General features: G+C 42.1%; 1 annotated feature.

The window, feature by feature from the left end:
- Positions 360-543: a silencer, noted in NCBI's record as "fragment chr1:180555052-180555235 (GRCh37/hg19 assembly coordinates)". NCBI's record gives its function as "represses an EF-1alpha promoter that drives an FKBP-Casp9 reporter gene in an ReSE screen in K562 erythroleukemia cells {active_cell/tissue: K562}" and the evidence as "EXISTENCE:reporter gene assay evidence [ECO:0000049][PMID:32094911]".

A 17,712-nucleotide genomic window follows, 5' to 3' on the forward strand; every position in this document is an offset into this window, starting at 1 on the left:
TAAGAGAAAGGAAGGAATTCAAACCTCTCGGGTTAAACTGGATGTCTGAAGTTGTTTCGACTGTGGCTTCCAGGAAGCTCTGCCTCATTTCTTTGAAATATGACTCAGGTCCTTACCCAGGAGCATGTCTGACCTTGTTCCGACAGAACTTTAAAATATTTACTCTGTACTCCCTCTAGGCAGCTTCTCCATTCTTAGTCTCCAGCCATCTGCTTGGCAAGGCAAGAATCACAGATGACCAAGGTACCTCCTCACACACACCTGACAAGAGAAAAGTTTTGATTCCCTTGTCATGGGCCCCGACACCTTGGGCTGCTTCTACTGCAAAGGGCAGTATCTGGGGGATGCCCGGGCAGAAGAAGAGGACTGGGTTACATACTGTGCTTGTTTAACAAAGGTTTTGGGGGGCCATTTTAGCCAAAGATCTTTCTTTGAGTTCAAAAAGTTACACAGCTTTTAAAATCTGAGGCTGGAGCTTCTTGAGGGTGCCTGGCAAGGACAGCCAGGCCAAAACTGCATAGGAAGATGGCAGGAGTTTCCGTCCGTCACCTCTTCTGTGGCTGTGTCTCTCTTCATCTCTCAGGGCAGCCAGGGGACTCTGCTATCTCTATAGGCCACTCTCAAAATCCGCCCTCAGGAATGGAGCTCATGGACTCATTCGTGCAGGTGCTATAGCTAAAAGAGAAACTCCTCTTTAAATGTCTGAAAACAAAGGGATTGATGACAATTTTTGACATCTGGGGCTCTCAGTGCCAAGGAGGCAGAGAGGTGTTAAGGATAGGAAAGACTTCTTGAAATTGCTTATTTCGTATCTCGTGAGATTCAACCTACCAATAAGACTGGCTCTTTGCCATGCCTGAAGGAGTTCACTTGATATTCACAATAATTATGGAGTCCTCTCTTTTCTGAACTAAACTCCATAATAGGCACAATTAAGCTAACCTTTACTGAGCACTTACTATACCAGGTATTTTGCTGAGCACTTTACATTATTTTCTTTAATTCTTAAATTTAGGTAGAATATCATTTAGGATCCTCTTGATAGACCTAAACCAAATAGGTGTAAACGCAAAGAGCATTTATTGGTTTACAAAACTGGGAAGCTCAGGAACAGGGCTGCCTTCATACATGACTGGACTCAAACAACATTATCAGAACCTTGACTCCCTCCATCTCCTGGCATGGATCCACCTTCCTTTGTGTGTTGGCTTTGTTCTCAGGTTCCCCGTGGGGGCAGGTGGCTGGAGCTGCTCCAGCCAGACAGTCTTCCAGCATCTCCATTTCAGCAGGAAGTAGAAAGCAGCACTCAGGAGTGGCACTCAGCTTCCTCCTGAGTGCTCAGATGTACTCTAATTAGACAGCATCACATACTCATCTCTGAATTGGCCTCATGGCCAGGGGCTTTGAAGAGTCTGTCCTGAGTCATGGTCTGCATTCTTCTTCTTACTATTTTTTTTAGACTTTTTTTTTTTTCTCTGTTGCCCAGGCTGGAATGCAGTGGTGCAATCACAGCTTACTGCAGCCTTGACCTCCTGGGCTCAAGGGATCCTCCCACCTCAGCCCCCAGGGTAGCTGGGACTACAGGTGCACTCCACCATGCCCGACTAATTTTTGTATTTATTGTAGAGGTGGGGTTTCACCATGTTGCCCAGACTGGTGTCAAACTCCTGGGCTCAAGTAATCCTCCTGCCTTGGCTTCCCAAAGTGCTGGGATTACTGGCGTGAGCCACTGTGTCCGGCCTCCATTCCTGGAGGGAGGTGGAGGAGCCTTAACTAGACCAGAAGGATAGAGACTAGGGGAGAAGGATCTCCAGATGGAAATTTGGGGAATAGATGCAGAGCAAGCAACAAAAAATTTTCATAACCCCTGTGAGTGTTAGTGTTCCACTTTGATAGATGAGGAAACTAAGGCTCAGTAATTGATAGAACAGGAGCTCGAATCCTGTCAGTTACATTTAACAAGCCATATTATTGTTCCATTTATTCAGAGGAAATGTTTTTTCTTTTTAAATACATAAAAACAAGAATGCATAACTAGAGTAAATGAATTAATGTCAAATTTTCCATAATGAAAATTCTCCTTAACTTGTCCTGCAAATGTACCCCAGGAGACAGAAGAAGCCCTCTAAGAACGTATAACTCTCTTTTCAATATGTCAATGGCCAAGTTTTTCTGCCAAGGGAAAGAAAGGGAATGTGACTCATTATTAAAGATCCAGGGCATGCTTTTGACTTCATCTTCAGAATGATTTGAACCAACAATTCAGCTGGCTTCAAGAAAAACAACACATGAAGTGACTTACTGTAGAAAGTAAAAAGTTTCCTCTTCAAAGTTTAAAAATAAATCTTAAGTGTTAGAAATAATAGTTTCTTTTAAAGACTAACTTCCTTCAAGCCTCCTTGCTTTATGCTAATAACTCTTTGTTAAGCCCTATCCTATGTAGCTGTTAGACATGCTCACAGGCATAGTACATTCTATGTCCTTGAACCTTAACCAAAATATTTGTGTTGGACACGCTCATAGGCATGTCCCAGCTCACAGCCTGTGTCCCTTCCTTACTTAGGAATATTATTACTTTTCTACCTATTTTTAAAAGTTTTAAATTATTAGCCAGTCAGGTTTCATGAGGTCTGGCTCCAGCCAATGGAGACAGGACACAGCAATAAGGACCTCACGTGTAAGTAATAAATATTCTGGTGTCTGTTTATTCTGTGTGTGCCCTTGCCATTGTCCCATCTGCAAGGGACACCCTTTCTGCAGAAAGTAAAAATTGCCTTGCTAAGACAACTTTTTGTCTAAATGCTGATTTTTCCTTGTGGCACCAAAGAACAAACATTTTACATTTCTAACACTTACTGATATAATTTATCCTTTCTTAGATACTTCACGTGGGCCTGGCTGCCTTGTAAAGGGTTTTGAAACAGTCATTTAGGAGATATGGTCATTGTTGATTTTATTCTGAACTCTCAACCACAAGCAACTATGAAGTCTGTTATTAATGACCTTATCATATTGACATGTACTAACCAAGATAGAGAAAGCTATGGTGTTAGCAAAGTTAGCAAAGTCTTAGACTTGGCACTAATTAACTCTGTAACCTCAGACAAATCTCCTAACCTTTCTGATTCTCTCTCTTTCTTTTCTTTTCTGTTTTTTTTTTTTTTTTTTTGACAGAGTCTCACTCTGTCCCCCAAGCTGGAGTGCAGTGGCGCCATCTTGGCTCACTGCAACCTCCGCCTCCCGTGTTTGAGTGATTCATCTGCCTTAGCCTCCCAAGTAGCTGGGACTACAGGCACCCGCCACCAGGCCCGGCTAATTTTTTGTAATCTTAGTAGAGACAGGGTTTCACCATGTTAGCCAGGATGGTCTCGATCTCTTGCCTCATGATCCACCTGCCTTGGCCTCCCAGAGTGCTGGGATTACAGGCATGAGCCACCGTGCTCAGCCATTCTTTCTGTTTTTTAAGAGATGGGGTCTCACTGTTTTGGCCAGGCTAGTCTCGAACTTCTGGCAGTGATCCTCCTGCCTTGACCTCTTAAAGTGCTGGGATTACAGGCATGAGCCACCACCCTGACCTCACTTTCACTCACTTTCATCTATAAAATCTTCTTTTTTGTTTGGTAGAGGTGTGGTCTTGCTATGTTGTGAGGCTGGTCTTGAACTCCTGGTATAAAATCTTTAAAATGATGATAATAAGTTTATAAGTTTTTGTGAAATTCAGATTATGTAATATGCTTTAAAACTCAAGAATGTTTGTAAACCTGTTAGAATTTCACAAATATAAAGTGTTATACTCCTTTCAATCCAAGAATCTGAGAACTCTGTGGCTGCCTATCACAGTAACAGTGAAGAAATTCCAAGAGGCAGGTCTAGATTAAGTTAGAGTTGAAGTCTGTAACTTCAGAAGCTGATTCTGGACTAGGTAACAACCTCCTATTTAATCAGGAAATAATGGCTTGCAGTAAAACAAAACAAACAAAACATAAAAACACCAATGTGTTTCATTATATTGAAATGCAAAAAGAAGAATGTGATCCAAGCGTGGCATAAACTTCTAAACAAAATCACCAGTTACTAAAATTCTGTACAATTCCATTTTCTCAACATACTTGACTTTTGGATCATTTGTTCACATCCAGGAGATTCCTTAGCACCCCACATCTATTACCTCAAATATGATCAAATCCCTGCAGGGCTCAGAAGAAAGATCAACAAGTCAGAAATCTAAAGAGTAGATATACTGAGGCCAAATTAAAACAGAGCAATGATCAATCCCAAGAATGGAGCCTTTCAGATTTCAAGTAAAAGTGGCCACTGTTTGGGCAGAGGACATACTCCAGCATCCTTTTCTCTCCAAAGCCTTCCCTAGTACTCTCTGCCTTGCTTCCACACAGAAAACTTAGCACCTTTGCCCATCTCCGGTCAGATGATCAAAGAATGCTTCTTGGCCTTCCCTGACTTTCCTTGGTTACTGAACATTGGGCACCAACCATTATTTGTGTGTTAGTTTGTTTATGGGATTGGAAGCAGAATGCCTGCTGTGTTACCTGGTTAGAGGCACTGGAAGTGCCAACTAGAAAGCCCAATCTCTCAGCTAAAGGAGCTCTCCAACTGAGGTTTGGCCTGCAAAGGTGGTGGTGCCTGAGCTGAAGGGTGAATCAAAGCCAGCTCCTCGGATAAGAGGTGAGGGTGATGGATATTTCAAACCAAAAGAATCAGCCAAGTGCTGTGGCTCACACCTGTAATCCTACCACTTTGGGAGGCTGAGCTGGGAGGATTGCTTGAGCCCAGGAGGTTGAGGCTGCTGTAAGCTATGATTATGCCACTACGCTTGAGCCTGGGAGACAGAATGAGATCCTGTCTCAAAAAAAAAAAAAATTAAAGTAAAGAAAGAATAACCTGAACTGAGGAGAGACACAGAAGATCATGATGCATTTAGAACATTTATGTCCATATAGCTGGACTACAGAGTGTATGTGGCTCACAGGAAGCTGGAAAAAGTGAATAGAGAGGTAGGCAGGGGCTGGATCATGAAGAGCCTTGTAAGCCAGGTTTTTAAATTAGCTTTGATCATGAGGGCAATGCAAAGACATCAGAGAGGTTTAAGCACAGAAGTGATATGATCAGATGTGCAGTTGAATAATAACAAGCAATATGTGTTCCAAACAAAATTTGGAAAATCAGAAAAGCACAAAAAAAGTGTAACAGATGGTATTGAATGTCCGGGCCACACTATAGGTCTAAGACTATAGGTCTAAGAATGTTTTCTTAGACCTATAGTGTGTCCTGGACATTCATGACATGACCTTTTTATTTATTCTTTCCTATTGCTTCAGAAAAATCCATTCTAGGATAAAATCCTTGCTTTTCTGATCCCATTCTGTCACAAAAATGCTCTCATTTGAGTACTGCAAAAATTGTGTGAAGTGTAATATTACACCTTCAATATTTTATTCATTGAAAAACTTCTCATCCGTCTGGCTAGGCTTGCTTTAGTCTTGGAAGCTTGCAGTGAAGGAAGGGTGCACAGTCAGCTTTTTCCCTCTTCTACCCACTAGCTGCTCTTTCCTTAGGCCTCTGGGGATGGATTAGGGGCAAATTACTCAGATTTATGTGACTGACACAGTTGTCATATGGTGTGCCATTCGCACCTTGGAGATCCTTCTACTAGGGACCCCTGGCTAGAGTGCCCTCCTGCCAGGTAGCTTCACCCTGCAGGTGGTTTTCCAGGGCAGTGTCCCTTTTGACATGGACTGTGAATGGGTCCCCTCATTCCATGGCCCACCCGTCAATAAAAGTGCAGCTCCCTGCCAATGAGTCTTCTCTCTTTATTCTGTTGCAGGGCAGGCCCTTCTAGACTTTCACCTTTAGGCTTCCTCTGGTGAAAGTCAGTCCTGTGTCTCTCAAACTCCAGGAGACACAGATCAAGGACTCACTCCAAATGACTCTTGTGAAACCTCCTCACTTGGCTTAAAGGGAGGTGGTGTTTCCTATGGCAGGAGTAGGGTGGGTTTGGAACAGTGCACCAGGACCATTGTCTATAAAGAAGACCTTGATCTGGCTTCTTAAGCCCCCAAAGGATGTTTCTAGCCTCTCTTCCATAGCCTAAGGTGGGTAATGGGCTTATATTGACAAAGCCCAGTTCACAATCTCTTTGTGTGCCCTGAACATAGCTAGGGGGTCTAGCAATTCTATTAAAAATTGGTCTAGCAAATTTTTTAGAATGTGCCAGTGTAGGACCTACCTTAGTATTCTTAGTCTTTGAAGAGTTGAGAAAATAGAGGAAGCAATTTTCTTTAAAAAATGAAAATCATTCATAATTCCAATAGTTTTTTTTCTTTTCTCCTTTGGAAGTATAGAGAATAAGGAGAGAAAATTCTCCTTCCACCTTTCAACTATAACAGTTTGATGTGTATCTTTCAAAAATTTGTTATGCTTATATAAATACAGACTATAGATAGACGGGTGATTGTAAAACATAGCTATGGCCAGGTGCAGTGGCTCACACCGTAATCCCAACAATTTGGGAGGGCGAGACAGGAAGATTGCTTAAACCCAGGAGTTCAAGACCAGCTTGGACAACATAGAGAGACCCTACGGTTTCTACAAAAAATTTAAAAATTAGCCAGGCATGGTGCCATGTGCCTGTAGTCCTAGCTACTCAGGAGGCTGAGGTTAGAGGATCACTTGAGCCAGGGAGGTCAAGGCTGCAGTAAGCTGTGCTTGTGCCACTGCACTCCAGCCTGGGTAACAGAGAGGAACACTGTATCAAAAAATAAAATAAAATAAACAAATAAATAAAACATAGCTACACAATGTTTGACATTTTTTCTATCAAGAGGTGGCGTTTATGTTCCCTTCCCTTGAATTGGTGCAGGCTTGTGACTGCTTTGACCAGTGGAATACAGTGGGAATGAAGGTTGTGACTTATGAAGCAGGGTCCTAAAAGGCGTGAAGCTTCCACCTTGATCCCTGGGGACACTAGCATTTGAAGCATCAGGCCACCATGAAAGAAGTATGACTACCCTGAGGACATGATATTGGGGAGGACACACATAGGTCAGTGCCAGCTGAACCCATCCTTCAGCATTGCAGGCCAGGTGGCAGGACATGTGCATAAAGAAAAATGTAAGGAGTACCTCTTCTAACTCCAGCTGTTCCACTCCCAGCCATTCAAGTCATCTCAGCTCTAGATATCATGGGGCAGAGAAAAACCAACCCTGCTATGCCCTGTCTGAATTCCTGCCCCACAGAATCTGCAAGCATAATGAAATGGTGGTTGTTTTATGTTACTAAAATTTGGGGTGACTTGTTACACAGTGATGGGTAATGGGAACAGACAGCTATTTAGAAAGTTCACTGAACTGCAAATGGTAAAGATGGAGTTGAAGGGGGCAAGACTGGGAACAGAAAGACAAGGTAGGAGGGTTTTGCAGTAATCCACATGAGAGACCAGCGGCTAAATTAAGGCAGTGGTAGTAGGGAAGGAGAGATAGGGCCCAATGGAGAAATATTCAGGCTCAACACTTATGGCCCCACTGGCCGGTATCAACAGCACAAAACACAAGAGATGGGCTAGGAAAAGAAGGCATAGAGCAGAGGCCTTGCGCATGCTGTTAGCGTATCTCCTTTGGTATATCTCAGCTTTTTCCTCTGTGTGCAGACTCGGCTTTGTTACCCCAGGCTGTGATTACATGGTTTAGTTTCACAAACGGGATGCCCTGAATGTTAGGCTGTGGATTACATTAATCAATCTATTTTGTTTTATCTTACATGCTTACTTAAAAGCTCCTTGTACTTAGAAAGAAAATATATGCAAAGTAATGTACAAAGCAGAGACTTGTCATTGTTTTAAGCTGAGCCCTTGTACCCTGTCAATGAACAAAGAGGCCCCTGGGTGAGCAGGATCAGTTTATAGTGATCAGTCTCTGAGAGATCTACCTCCCTGCAGCAGGGCAGTGAAGGAGGGTGGGAAGGACAGGGTGTACGGAACAGAAAGATAGAAAAAAATTGCTCACAGCCAGCTTACTGGCACGTTTCAAGATATGCTAGGCCTAGACTGCAGGACAGTGTGTGCTGGAGATAGAGTTGCAGTCTACAAAAGGTCTGCACATGCATTAAGTATGGACAGACAAAAGCTCGTGCTGCCAAAAATGGTAAGGCTTGTTACCTCTGGGGGTTGGAATTACTTCTGTTTTTTGTTTTTGTTTTTGTTTTTGAGACAGGGTCTTGTTCTGTCACCCAGGCTGGAGTGCAGTGGCACGCTCTTGGCTCACTGCAACCTCCGCCTCCCAGAGCGATTCTCCGGTTTCAAGTGATTCTCTTGCCTCAGCCTCCCGAGTAGCTGGGATTACAGGCGCCCGCCACCATGCTGGGCTAATTTTTGTATTTTTAGTAGAGACAAGGTTTCACCATGTTGGACAGGCATGTCTCGAACTCCGGACCTCAGGTGATCCGCCTGCCTCAGCCTCCCAAAGTATTGGGATTACAGGCGTGAGCCACTGTGCCCAGCCTTCTTCTGGTTTTGTTGATGTGTTGGGACCTTTGTGCTTTTTTTATATTTTCCAAATTTTCTGCATATGTATTACTTCTGAAAATAATTTTTGAAAAAACTACATTCTTTTAAAAATTATGAGGCCCTCACAGTTTCACCCATGTGGCTCTTATCTGCACTAGTGTTTTCTGCAAGTTTCACTCTAGATCATCTGACTACTCTCATCTTCCTAGACTAGGGGACTGCACACGCAATAAGGGACCACTTTATACACAGTTTAGGGCCCTCTGAGTCTCCCTTTCAGAATTCTTTCCTGAACACTTCTCGAATACTCAACACATTCTCCAAGTGCTCGGGACAGCCTCTGAGTCCCTGCAGTCCTCTCTGCAGTGCCAAGTCTGTGGTCTTTAGTAACCAAGTCTGTGCTCCCAAATCACTTCTCTCTCTCTCCTACAGTCTCCCACTTCCCACCCTCCATCCAAATGCCTACTTACTTCCCAGGAAGATCTCAGCTGGATGTTAGAAACAGAGCTAATAAATATTAAACTCATTCACAACATTTGAATGAGTAGCTAATAGCTTCATACTCACTGAGTTTTAAAAGAGGTTGCCCAATTAATGTTAGTGTCTCTAATTGGTGATATCAAAGCTATAGTCGAATGCAGATTTTCCCGCTCGCATTAAATCTATGTGCAAGTAGGTCACAACCTCTTTTAGCCAAGCAGGAAGGGTTTCCTGCAGCCAGGCGCCATCACCATTAATATCAGATAGAGCAGTAACTAATTCAGTCATGTTGATGGATGCCGAGATGGTGCCTAGACTCATCTGCAGTGGGAGCTACAAAGCTAGAGTGCGAGAAACCAATTTCCTCCAGCCTGAAGTGCTCTAGGTCACCCCTGGTTACGGAGAAAATGACATGAGTCACTGCATCTCCTAAGCCAGCTTATCCAGAATGTTGTGCACAGCTAAGCCAACAAATAACAATAGGTGTACACAGAATACACATTATCTCACCCCATTAGTCCTGAAGATCTATTCTGATTTCCCAGAAAAAAGGTTAGGGAAACTGCAACGTGTGGCAGTTACAAAAACACTTCAAACCAATACCCAACAGGGGAAGAAATGCAGACACGCTCTGAACTCCAGCCAGCGAGCCAGTTCAAAACCAGGCTTTACCTGTCCAAGGAAATCCCTTCCCTGGGGGACATTTAAAATGGCTTAGAGGCTTTCTTTCTTTCTATAAAGCAGAGTTTGGGGTGCTCTCTTGCTCTTGGGGTGCTCTCTCACTCTCTCTGTCTCTCTCTTTCTCAGTTACATGCATTAAACGTTTACAAGTATCTACCATGTACCGAGTATTATGCTAGGCACTGAGGTTTCTAGTATGAATATGGCTCAGTCCCTGCTCTAAAAGAAGCTGAAATTCAGTTAGTGGGTGGCAATGGGCACAGGTGCAAATGATGGAGCAAACAGTAATACAATCAATTAAGTCCTATAAGAGAAGATAGAAGAACAGGGACAAGGAAGTGTTGAAGTCCTCCTGCCAGGACTGAGGCACAGGTGGGAATTGGGTGGGTGGAGAGGCGGGAAGCTGTGAGGCGGGGAGGCACAGGTGACCCTGGAGGAAAGGCTTCAAGGATAATTAGTTAACCAAGTGGCTAAGTGAGGTGCAGGAGAGGAGAGGGAGATGAACTCTCCTCTACTTTGGAGCATTCCAACTCTAGATTTTTATGTTTTTACATTAGCTTATTTTTCTTTTGTTTCTCATTTAACTCTAAAATCAAAACTAAGTGCAAACAACATTTTATAACCCTTGAAAATGGAAATGGTACACTATGACCTGTTCATTTCACAGTTAAGCTTCTTCAAATCTTCAGTTCTCTGCTCCTAGACTTTTGGATTCACATTAGTCCTAGAAGATGGATCAGAGAAATGCAAGGAAAAAAAAGTGAAAATCATTCATTTTTAAGTAGTTAATGTTTTATAATCTAATTCCAAAAAGACTCAGAGGAAACAATTAATGTATCTGTTTAACTGATCCGGTTAAAATGATTGTGAAAAAGTTAGAAACGAAAAGCTACATTTCAACTTTATTTCCCCAAGCTATTCCTTTCCTCAATTAGCCTGATAATTGGGAGATAACTACAGAGCATGCCACATCCACTCTAAAGCATATTTATAGGAAAAATGCCAGAGATCTGGCTGTCTATTCTTTAACTCTAAATAAAGCATTTCCAGATGCCCAAAATGCACCTAAAATATATTATATTATGTGTATATATATGTATATATATATATTTCTTTTTTTTTTTTTTTTTTTTTTGAGATGGAGTTTCACTCTTGTTGCCCAAGCTGGAGTGCAATGGCACGATCTCGGCTCACTGTAACCTCCACCTCCCGGGTTCAAGTGATTCTCCTGCCTCAGCCTCCAGAGTAGCTGGGATTACAGGTGTGCGCCACCACGCCCAGCTAATTTTTGTATTTTTAGTAGAGATGGGGTTTCACCATGTTGGTCAGGCTGGTCTCGAACTCCTGACCTCGTGATCCACCCGCCTCGGCCTCCCAAAGTGTTGGTATTACAGGCGTGAGCCACCACGGCTGGCCAAATTTATTTTTTGTATAGCAAACTGACTATAGGTGTATTCCTTTTAAGTTCATTTTTAAAAGCATAAGTGCTAGGCTGGGCATGGTGGTGGCTCACGCCTGCAATCCTAGCACTTTGGGAAGCTGAGGCAGATGGATCACCTGAGGTCAGGAGTTCGAGACCAGTCTGGCCAACATGGCAAAACCCTGTCTCTACTAAAAATACAAAAATTAGTCGGGCGTGGTGGCGCACAGCTGTAATCCCAGATACTTGGGAGGCTGAGGCACGAGAATCGCTTGAACCTGGGAGGCAGAGGTTATAGTGAGCCGAGATCACACCACTGCACTCCAGTCTGGGTGACAGAGCGAGACTCCATCTCAAAAAAAAAGTATAAGTGCTGTATACTTATAGATTAAAATAAAAGTACAGAGGGAATAACAGTCACTCCCCAGAAGTAATTATAGTCAACAACTTTGTGAATCTCTTTCCAATATACGTATGTATTATACAAGAAGATTGTAATATAGACCGTGGCATCTCCAGAATTTCTATATTGGAGAGGCTCAGGGGAGACATCTAGTTAAATGAGAAGGCTAGGAGAGAAGCTGCCTTTTCATAGTAAGCCGTTAGTATTTTAGATTGAATTGATTTGGCATATTTTGTGGGGATGGGGGCTGGAGGAAATTATGGGAGGAGCTAAAGGCTTTCCTGAGCCAGCTATGGCAAGCACTGCCACCTATTTCCACAACCTGCTTTTTTAACTTAAAAATGTCTTGAACATTTTACCATGTCACCAACACATAGAGATCTACCACCTTCTTTTATAATAGTTACATTGAATTCCACTGCATTTAATTAATCTCCTATTGATAAACATTTAGATGTTTTCCAGTTTTCACTAAGCATTCCTCTCTTTCTCTCTCCCTCCCTCTGTGTGTGTGTGTGTGTGTGTCTTCTGTTTATAACATGAGAATTTCTGTAGAATAGATTCATAGAAAGAAGATTTATAGGATGAATTATATGTACACTTAAAATTTTGACAGAAAACTCTCATTATTTAATATATGACTCTGCTGCCACTGTGATGGCAGAATACTGTCTTCTATGATTGATGGAGTGACCATATTATTTAGCAGCCAAACCAGAACACTTTTGAGAGAGAAAGTAGATGCAATTAATTATCATGCTGGAACCACAGGCATAAACCAGGACTACTCCTGGGCAAACTAGAACATTTGGTCACCCTAATAATTATTAATATAAACATCATCAGTGAGAATAAGATCATTGAAAAATTGACAGTTCTGCAAATAACTTAAGAAATTTCAATTATCCTCCTTTTTTCCTTCCAAAGCCTACTTTATTACTCCCATAGTGTATCACCGTGAAAGAGTATATGAATCTTCCAGCAATCTTCTTGTTGGATCTTGTGTTAATGACAACAAACACAAAATCTGGGGGGAAAGGGGGAGAATCTGCTTCTAAATGTTTAGCACTATTCAACTTTTCAGTTGAAAAAGGGGAGATTCCCAAACCAGGAATCATAGTTGGATATCAAAATATCTCACGGGATACAGAAATAATATGAAGAGAGGAAAAAGTGTTAGAAAATAGTAGAGAACCTTATCACAAAACATTTGTTTCCAGTAAATCTAGGCTCGGCATTCTTTAATAAGTCCAGAAGTTACATAAAAGCAATGAAAAAGAAGATAGCAGAGTCAGTTTTCTGAGGTCTGTGACTTGGGTTCCAGCAGGCCAAATTTTAGATAGTCCATGGACTAATGTTGATTTTTGTGGCTCAACCTGAGAACATATATTCTCTTTGGTGTCCTGTGAAATACTGGCAGGGCTTGGCCAGCTTCCTTGGTTCTTTATGGACAGTCCAAGCCCTGAGATACCAGACATATGGCCTTCTGTGAGTGTGGTCTACCAAACATGTCACTTCCCATTTCCAAGACAGCTGGGAAAAAAAAAATTATTTTGCTGCCAGGCAGGATCAATCTATGGTAAAAATCTGTGTAAGTTCAGAGACAACTGGTTGTTCCAGATGGAAAAGGAGAGTCCATCTCGTGTCTTGTCTGTGTGTGTTCCCATCCCTCCAGCAGTGCCCTTTATTGCTCGTTAAGGATTACATTCCTTTTTCTGTCTGTTATCCCAGGCTCAGGAAAAAAAGCCCTTGACGGGTTAATGAATTACCCAGCACACTGAATCATCTGTCTTGTGTTTCTTACTAAATGAGAGGCTTTAACAGATCAGCGCTGAGGTGTTGGGAAGTGTGTTTCTAGTAAACGGCAAGCTGATGAAAATGCCTCAAAGCCTTACAATTCACGACCTGAAGGCAACTCCAGGAGAGGATAGTTTCCAAAACATACCTCCTTTCAGCTCTTGTCCATTGGCTGCGAATTCAAAAAGTGGATGTAATTGTCAAGTTTTTTTTCAAGGGCTGAGTTAGTTACAACAATGTACTGTTTAGTAGTAGCAACTGTTAACCTACTTTTTTTTTCAGGAGTGACAATGGGTACAATACATAGCAGCATTCCCACTTTCTCACCTTGACTTTGCTTTAATTAAGGCGTGCATTGGCAAAACATTTGAAATGCATTCTCTTTCTGTGAAATGGATGTTTTGCTTTATCAAAGGCCATCTGAAAGCTGAGATCAATCTATAGGTACTGACAAAGATAAGATGTTAAGTCAAAAACAAACAAACAAACAAACAGAAATTGCCAAATAGTACGTATGGCAGATCCCATTTATGTAAAAATATGTGTAAATATAGTATGTGTTAGTATTTGAGTAGAAGGAATTTGAAACACTATGCACCACATTATTAATAACTGTTATGTCTGAGGGTGGAATTGCCAGGGCTTTTTACTTTCTAAGACATCTGTATGGTTTGCCTTTTATACAATAAGCATCTGTTACTTTCGAATCTGAAAGGGAATGGGGGTGCAAAAATAAAGTCACTCCAAAAAATTCAACTGATTTCTTAGTCATACAGTCAAACTAGCTGAGCTATCCAAATGCAAACATAAGAAGCTTACCAATGGGGAATGGACTGTACATACTGTAAAAGGTAGCATTGTTATATATTAATAAATATTACATACACAGGATAGGCTTCTAAGGGCAGAAGCAAAGAACAAATGCCAGAGAGAAAGAATTTTCTATTTCTCATTTAAAAAATTAACTTGTTAAAAAATAAACTTAATTTAATTGGAGAACTTTTTCAAACTCACAGACTTATTTTGGAAGATTACTCGTTTTAGTTACGTAACCTGAACCCTCAGTTTAGGAAAATGCTCAGCAAGAATATGACAGATGTTAATCGGTAGCATTTAATGGCAAATTGCTGATGTTGTTCAATTAATCATATCAGATCTAATGTCATGTTTTTCTGTGATTTGTGAGTCATCCCAGTGTGGTATAGTGAAAAGTATATAGGTTTTAGAGATTCCGCTTAGGTTCAAATCTCCCCTCTCCCACTATACTTCCAATTTGATTTTGGATCAATTACTTAACCCCCTTAAGCCTCGGTTGTTTGAATTAAATGTATTTTATAATAATAACTGCTTAATAGGCTTGTGATAAGGCCTAAACAAAATGATCTATAAAATGCATTTTATAAACTATAAAATGCTCTAGCATATAGTAGGCACTGAATATTGAGTGAATAAATGAAAGAATTAGGGAATATTATTCTAGACTTTGTTTAATGTCCACACAAAATGAGAGAGACAGAAAAAGAAAAACAGAGACAGAGAGGGTGAAAAGAGAGAGAGAGGAGAAGAGAAAGACAGAAAAGAGAGAAGAAAGGAGAAAGTTCCAGTTCCTTCAGGTGTGGAGTTTCCTAAGAATGAAAGTGACTCATGATTTAGAAAAGGAAAAAAGTGAACAAGCAATAACTGAATGCAAATCCTAGGTTTGGAATAATGCTGCAACATTTTGAAATTGCCACACAAATCACACATAATACCTACTATCCTTTAAGGCCTTCTCAAATGTCACAGCCATGATGAGGCCTTTCCTAATTTCCCAGGCAGTGGTAGGAACTTCCTCTATATGTTCCACAGCTAAGCGCTGGAGGTGTCAGCCATGAGAAACTTTGCCTTCCATCATGAAGTGCACTGCTCTCAGCTCGTTCCCAGGGAATTAATGCTAGGATGTTCTTTGCATAAAGGTAACTTTGGATTAGACTTGGGGGTATGTGCCTGACCCAAGGCGACCCATCTAATGAGGTCCTAGCATGAAAAGATTACCTGGGCCAATCAAATTCTCTTTCAGAGAAATTGAAACTAATAGAATCAAAAGAATTTGCTAGTTGGAGAGAAGAACCCACTTGCAGAGTGAGTTCCCTTAATGACAGTGCCCCAGAATGACAATTCTGTGACCCAAGTCCACTCTTGGTCCCATAGTTAGGAAATAGGTAAAGCTGAGCATACACTCAAGGATTTCTTAACTTAGTTATCCAACACAGGTGATTTTGGTGTGTGCAAGCACTTCAGAGAGGAGTTTAAAAAGCCCCGTTCTTTTAGAAATAAGTTGATATAGCAGCTTGCTTTTAGCTAATCACCCATTACTTTTCTTTCCTTATCCTACAGCTCTTCCCACTCTCCTGTTTGCCACCTACCATGCCTGCACGGCAATCTAGACACCAGAACATTTGAAGGACCGCAGAGCCAAACAGTTCAGGTGTGAGTCTGATGGCTAGTAGAGAGGTAGGGACCAGAGATACAGATTTGGAAGTTAACAAAACTGCTGATTTAAAATCTGCAAAAGTAGAGGAAGATGCCCAATGATTGTAAGGGTGGTTAGAAGATCCTAGAAGAAATTCTGTAGATACAAATGCTTAAACACTGGGCAACAGAGAAGGAGGAGAAGGAACTCGTGGAGGAACACTCAGAGAAGAGACCAATATAGAGACAATTGGCAATCCTTTCCCAAGAGGTTTCAGTGGGAAGGTAGAGATAGAATTGAGACTGCAATGTGTTTTGAAATGAGGTTGAACTAAGGAAGTGGAGCAGTGATTGTTGCTAACCCTCTTAAAGAGATTAGCAGAGGAGGAAATGTCCAGGAAGGCTTGGCATCCTTAAATGCTCCCTCTCCACCCATGGGCAAGGCTACAGGCATCCTATAAATGCAAGCTTGACTTAGCTATCTACACTTTGAGAATTCTTTCTGCTCTGGCTCTCATCCAGCTTTCTAAACTTTTGGTTCTATTCTTCTATCCTTACTTACCAATCTTTTAACTCCCATCCATTTTTTTCCTCTTTGCCCAGCTCATTTTAGATTGATACAGTGTGTGGCTGTCTCTTTGGTTCTGACCCTATTTCACCTGGAACACTATCTTCAGTTCCCTTTTTGTTTCATGGCCTGAGCTCTACCCTACTCCCTTTCCATCTGAGCACCCAGACCCTGGCTCCTGGCTTCCCTGAGCCTCCCATTTTGCCAAAGTTTGGAACAGAATCGGTTCATAAGGAGAGATATAGGGCAGTGATAGAGAAGGATAGAGCCAAAGAAGCAATTTCACTCTGAGAGAAACCGGTTAGAGGGGAAAAAAAAACCCAGTAGAGGATGTTAAAGGTAGAAGAGAGGAGGCAAGACTGCTGGGACACATTTCCCATAGGTGGAGTGGAAAGGGGTTGAGGACATAGATGGAGGCCTTGACCAAGGGAAGGGATCTCACCGTCTAAGGCAAGAGGGAAGGAGATGATAATAAGAATCAGTACAACTAAGTTGGTAGGAGGTAAGGATTCCCCTGAGAGTTAGGAACCTGAAAGTTAGGTTGGGCAAGAGGTTTGAAGACTTGCGAAGGTTTGGTGGCCACTCAGGTGAAAGGTAAAGTGAATTAAGCAAGGAACAGGATTATGGAGTAACACTGCAAGACCTGTAGAAGCTAAAGACTCAGCACTTGTACCAGGACCTCCTGCACCAGTGTACGATTTTCTCCAGCAGTGCTTCAGCCAACAAGGATCATCTCTTATTATCCAGGCTGACAATCAATCCTGGTGGTTAAGACCAGCATTCCCAGGACCTGCCTTGGTTCCAGGCCAGGGGTCAGATGCACTGTCCTTAGGACACTGGGGGAGTCAGAATGGAAGAATCTTTATTTATTTATTTATTTTTTGAGTTGGAGTCTGGCTCTGTCGCCCAGGCTGGAGTGCATTGGTGTGATCCTGGCTCACTGCAACCTCTGCCTCCAGGTTCAAGCGATTCTCGTGCCTCAGCCTCCTGAGTAGCCAGGACTGTAGGTGCGTGCCGCCAACCCTGGCTAATTTTTGTATTTCGATGATGATATGAGGTTTCACCATGTTGGTCAGGCAGGTCTCAAACTCCTGACCTTGTGATCCGCCTGCCTTGGCCTCCCAAAGTGCTGGGATGACAGGCATGAGCCACCACGCCGGGCAGAATGAAAGAATCTTAACATCCCTTCAACTCATCTGTTCAGTCTGTGGACATACCTGAATTTGACAGAAGAATAGAAGACTACATGGAGGAATTATTATTTTACATGATCAAGACCAATCTCCCCACTTGCTGCACATCAGCTCTGTCCTGATTGAACCCTGATGGAGACCCAGTCTGCTTGCTGGGCTTCCTGCTACAACTGGAAATTCTTGTGACCCTTATAATCCAGG

The sequence above is a fragment of the Homo sapiens genome, chromosome 1, assembly GCF_000001405.40.
Source record: "Homo sapiens chromosome 1, GRCh38.p14 Primary Assembly".
NCBI classification, from domain to species: domain Eukaryota; kingdom Metazoa; phylum Chordata; class Mammalia; order Primates; family Hominidae; genus Homo; species Homo sapiens.